Below are 5,893 nucleotides of genomic sequence, written 5' to 3' on the forward strand. Positions count from 1 at the left end.
TAAAGATGGTCTTTAGGCTGTGTAATTTCCCTACCGTGGCCAATTTCAGTGCCTGTATTTTTTTTTTTAATGGAGCTATGAGTTGATGTTCCTTGAACTGGAAAATGAGAGTATGCCAAGGGTCCTAGAGACCATACTCCTAGATAAAAGACAAAAATATTCTCATGAAAACAGCAACAACAACATAAAAGAATCTAATTTATCCCTTTCTCTAACCTTATTTTTTCAATCAAAGCTAAGGCTGTAGAAAATTAAAGCAGATTCCTAATCTGAAGAAGGATACATCACAGGGTGATTTGGAAAATGTAGCCAAGGAGATCAAATCTGGGAACAGGCTGGTTTCCAATTAGTTGAAAGCATTTAATCTTTGCAGATTTTCTAGGAAATGCCGCCTAGACATTGGTTCTTTCAAATCCTTTTGTTTTCTGGTTTTCCTAGGGTTGAGAGTGGTTTGCTGGTTGGATTGGGATCAGGTGGACTTTTGTGATGTAAATGGAATGTTAGTATCCTGCCAAAGGCAACCTTTGCATTATTTGATGACATTTCCTCAGGATCCTCCAAAGGAAGTCAGAGGCCCCCAGACTTCCACATTGAATTGGGGTGGCACCATTTGTTCACATTTTGAGGGAAATCAGTCTTTGCCCCTTAAGCCAGAGCTGTTCCGGTTTTTGGACACTGATTAGCAAGGAACTTTCCAGAAATCACATCTTGTTTTGGTATTTTGCTTCTTTCTCTTATTTATTTAGTTTTTAAAGGCTTCATTCAAAACCTAGATGAGGTGGTATGTGCCTGTATTCCAGGCTACTCTGGAAAATGAATGGTCTCTCCAAGAAAGAAATATGGGAATAGGTTACTGAAAACAACCCGTGTGAAAACACTGACAACAAATGTGAGACTACTACTCTGCAGGCTGAGGTGGAAGGATCACTTTGAGTCCAGGAGTTCTTCCCTCCTGGGACCATGACTCTAAAAAAAAAAAAAAAGAGAGAGAGAGAAAGAAAGAAAGAGAGAGAGAAAAAAAGATAAAAAGAAGCTCTATTCAAATGCTTCACAAACTTCTCTTTTGACCTCTTTTGACTGAATTTTTATAAGGGAGGTGTATACAAATATATGATTTTCTATATATCTTACATAAATTTCTTTTTCTAATTAACTTTCAACCTGCAGTGTGATTTCAAATACTAATACAAGGCTCAAGACCTTACTAATAGCAGCAGATTTCCAATTTACCAATAATTTGGATTTGTATATTATGACATGTCATGGATTTCAGGAAAAAATATTGCATAAATCCTAAAAGAACAGGGACCCAGGACTGTAGATCAATGAAAGTGGAAGTGCTGAGGGCATTGTGTTTCCATCCTTCCTTCTCTGTGTGCTTGCTCTGAGGCTGGAGGCTCTGGGCTAGGCAACAGGGGTCTGGAGCTGAGGCTCTTAGACAATGGAAGTTCATAGCAGAGACAGAAAACAACTACAATATCAATTGTTTCCCTTCTTAAAGTCTCAGTTTCTTCATTGCTTACATGGATCCTTGTGAAATAATTATAATAGTAATAATAGATAACATTTTTTGAGTATTCCTTCCTTGCAGTATTTTAAGCATTCTTCACGTATCAGCTTATTAAATCTTCCAAATAATCCTACAACGTAGGTCCTTCTGTTCTGCCTCCTCTCTCTTGTCTCTCTCATTCCCAAATCTCTTGAATGCTGACTACTTCTCTGCAGAGTAACTCCTGGTCTCTCAGTTCGGTGGAGTGACTTTAGGTTATTTTTCATTGTGGGCAATGGCTTCTCCAATCCATGTAATTTTCCACAGCTTACCTGTAAGTTTGGAAAGGGAGTAAGCATGCAGAACCTCCCCTTACTAGCAGCAAGTCCTCAAGCATTCTTTTTAAGGGGCTTTGTGTCCAAAGAGGTGATGAACATACTCTTGGATTTTGTTATCTATTGTCTATGGAAGTGCCCTGAGTACTATATATAACTGTAAATGAAACTCAGTTTGCAGCTATATATCTTACAGGCCTACACAGCATTTAATCTCTTTTCATCTCTTTTAGGAAAGCTGTGCTTTGAAAGCTCCCATCTCTCAACACGCCATCCATGGCCACACAAGCTGTCTGCCCACCAGACTGGGGTCTCTTCTGTTGAACAGAAGGCTGACCAAAAGCTGACCCAGCACAAAGCCCAGCTTTCCACACCAACAGTTACTATTAGCTAGGCTCTCAATTACAGTATCAACTTTCTGAAGGAAGACTAGAAAAGAATCACTCTCCTCATTTCCAGATATATCTGAAACAAGGGCACAGTGGTAGTCATTAACCATAAAGATAAGGTTAATTTGCTTTCCTTCTAAATCTGAATGCTAATGTAACCATTTAAATAGTGCCAACAATGGAAATAAACACAAGGCTGAGTTAAACCACAAATGTACAGGCCTGTATCATTTGGCAAAACATAAGGGCTAGCGGTATTGAAATCACAGCATTAAAGCTGACATGTAAAAACGAATTGTAGGACTATTTGGGGCCAGCAGAGCAATTTATCAAATGGTACCAAGGGGACCCTAGAGATAGGAATGTGTCTTATTTGAAATAAGGAAATACAATGTCGTAACATTACTTAGAAACTGAGTACTTGAAATTCTTCTAGCCCAAATCTCCTCTCTTGTACTCCACATTCTGCACGTTTTTGGAGTTTTGAGATGTAGGTTGGGAAGAACTCCCAAAGTGCACATGAGTTGCCCAGAGGGAAAGAGAGGAAGGTGATGTGGTGGGAAGCCAGTAGGAAATGGCTCTGCCCTTCAACCTGCCCTGGGTCACTGCTGAAGAATAACAGGTCCTTTCTTCTGCCTGGCATGTTTTCTACACATTTTCGTAACCCTAAATTATATGCTACTCTTAATCCTACACGGTGGAAATGGACAATGATTTCTAGAGGACTTCTCTGCAAATAAATGAACGATATATGTGTGTTAAAACACAGCATTCTGCATGAAGCTTCATACACCTCAGTGTGAACCGGCCTAGTTCCTGTGCTTTGGCCAAGTGCTTGTGCAGTCTACCATGTGTAGTAGGGGTGTTGTGTGGTGGTTAGTGTAGCTAGTAGGAATTGTGGTGATGATATTTGGGGCCAATCACTTGCAGTTGTATAGCTCCATGCAAAATGTTTAGTTTGTCTCTACCTCAGTTTCATCATTTGTAAAATGGGTGTGATGATCTCTACTTCATACACACTCTACTTAGCCTAAGAGAGTGTGTGTGTTTATCTATTTTACTTTCAGTATGTCTAGTAATTATTAGTTCTCAACAAATAACTGTCACACTATTATTGCTGAAAGCCAGCGCTGCCCCATAGACTTAGAGAATCTGGGGGAGGACACAGGATATTTATCTATGAAACAGTGAGTAAGCAGGGCTTTTTTTTTTTTTTTTCACTTTCTCAAATTGAAAGTCATTTCTCTCATTTTCATTTTCCTGTGTCGGTTTGTTTTCCTAAGGATGGATTGCTGGGCAGCCTGCATGGTGCTCTTGTAGGCACAAGACTAGAAGTGGAAGACCTAATTATCTTCCCATTTCTTGTTGGCTTACCTTGGTCAAGTTCCTTAACTCTTTGGAGTCTCCATTTTTTTTAATCTATAAATTGAGAATAATACCATAGTTCTCTATTTGTGAAGTCCAAAGAGATCATGAAATACTTGTTTCCTGCAATTTATTATAAAGCATAAGGCTTTATTATGTTGTGATCATTTATGAATGTGTCTTGCTTCTCACACTAGACAGAAAGATTCAGAGCATAGTGACTTGAGCAACCAGTTTTCAAAAGCTATAAGTTAATGAGGGAAACCCACTGTAAAAATTACAGCAGAGTAACTATTATTAGATAGGCATTTCTAGTCCACCGTTTTGTCCATTGAGGCTTGTTGCCTTTTTCCATATAAATTGTTTTGATTTTTCCAAAGAAAATCCGACAAAGGAGAAAATGGATGGTTGGTATTATCAGGGAGAATTTCCAAGATCCAGGACTAGGAAGGGCAGACAATCAACAGTAATGACAGGCTCAAGGTACCCTCTTACTGGGGTGAGTTTTAAGTTATGATATTATATGGGGTACATTTATCCTCCTGTTCTCAGCACAACAACAACAAAAAACCCAAACCAAAACAAAGAAAGGAAAAAAGCAACCAATCACCAACAACTAACCAATAAACAACTCCCCTAGTCAAAATCAGAGAAGCCAAATACGAGTAGTTTTAAGTTGCTGCTCCTTGGATGGCACAGAATTAAATCCCTCTGATGCTTAGGTCAAGAGTGTTCAATTACGGACAGCCACAGTCTGGGACTCTGATGATGTGTATTTGGTGCCCTCACACTGGGCTCCCAAGAGAAACCAACAATGCTTATTGAGTAACTGTAGTATAGTCCTGTAGAGACTAGGGATGAAGTTTCATTCTTTCTTATTACCACCTCCTGTGATCCTAACAGGGATCCTTATTTGGGGTAATCTAAATCTCAAAGTTGATTAGTTCTTTGGAGTGATGTTTTGTTAGGATGTGTAAGGGTTCTTGTTTGAAATATATAAGCAACAGTTATTTACACATAAGATCTAAGACATGTACAAACAGTATGTTTGCCTTTAGCCACATTGCTCAGGAAAACTATTAACCATTGTTAAATATACAGTTGCCCATGTAAGAAGCCTGTTGATTACAGATTCTGAGAGACTACCCTTGTGACTTTGATTGGGACTCATATTTGAAACCATAGAGTCTTAAAATGCCTTCTAATAAATAGATCTACTGGATTTGAGTACTTCAGTGTATTAGTCCATTCCCACACTGCTAATAAAGACACACCTGAGATGGGGTAATTTATAAAGGAAAGAGGTTTAATTGACTCACAGTTCAGCAGGGCCTCAGGAAACTTACAATCTTGATGGAAGGGGAAGCAAACACGTCCTTCTTCACATGGCAGTAGCAAGGAGAAGTGCAGATTGAAGAGGGGGAGAAGTCCTTTATAAAACCATCAGATCTCGTGAGAACTCACTATCATGAGAACAGCATGGAGGTAACCATCCCCATGATTCAGTTACCTCCCACCAGGGTCCTCCCATTACACGTGGGGATTGTGGAAACTACAATTCAAGATGAGATTTGTGTGGGGACACAGCCAAACCATATCACCCAGTTTCAGCTGTTCTGTAAAACATGAAGCCATTCCTCTAAGCTTCCATCCCCAGGCCTTCCAAAGTGAATTTCCTCAACACTGCTTAGTTTTTAATTTAAAGCACATCATCCCAGACATACTGTCTACTCAGTTCTTGCTACATAATGTGATAACTTAATTTTTTATTTATGTAGATTTTGTGAGTAAAAGGACCCAGATGACCGTGGTTAAAGAGCATACCTGAAAGATCAGTTTCAATAAAAATGACAGAATGGATTAATATGCAACAAAGGGTAGCTGAACAGCTACTATATGCCCAAGGCAGTGGTGGAGAATTTCACATTATCACACTTTAGCAATCTGTGAAGGAGACATTATTATTTTTGCTTTACTGATAAGAAATATAAGGATCAAAAAAGTTAGGTAACTTTTCCAGTGTTACATTGCTGGTTAATGACGTAGCTAAATTATTAAATTTTATCTTGAATCCACTGTTTCTGGAGGAGACAGTTTTATTTTTTATTTTTTTTGCTTTTATTGTGGTTTTCAAGAAGCACCTCAGAGATTCCACCTTGTCATTTAAGCAGTACTTGAGGGACTTAGATTGATTGCTTCAGGACACTGTGACTAGTGAGAGACATATGCAAAACTACTTACATTATGATAAACTTTTCAAATGGAGAGTCTACTTTGTGGCTACTTTCAATCTATATTTTAGAAAACAATTCTTT

The 5,893-nt window shown here is 38.7% G+C and overlaps 1 annotated feature.

The window, feature by feature from the left end:
* Nucleotides 241-778: an enhancer, noted in NCBI's record as "OCT4-NANOG hESC enhancer chr5:81819418-81819955 (GRCh37/hg19 assembly coordinates)". NCBI's record gives its function as "activates a minimal SCP1, AML or CMV promoter by ChIP-STARR-seq in primed H9 embryonic stem cells {active_cell/tissue: H9 hESC(primed)}" and the evidence as "EXISTENCE:reporter gene assay evidence [ECO:0000049][PMID:30033119]".

Source organism: Homo sapiens, chromosome 5 (assembly GCF_000001405.40).
Source record: "Homo sapiens chromosome 5, GRCh38.p14 Primary Assembly".
Lineage (NCBI taxonomy): Eukaryota > Metazoa > Chordata > Mammalia > Primates > Hominidae > Homo > Homo sapiens.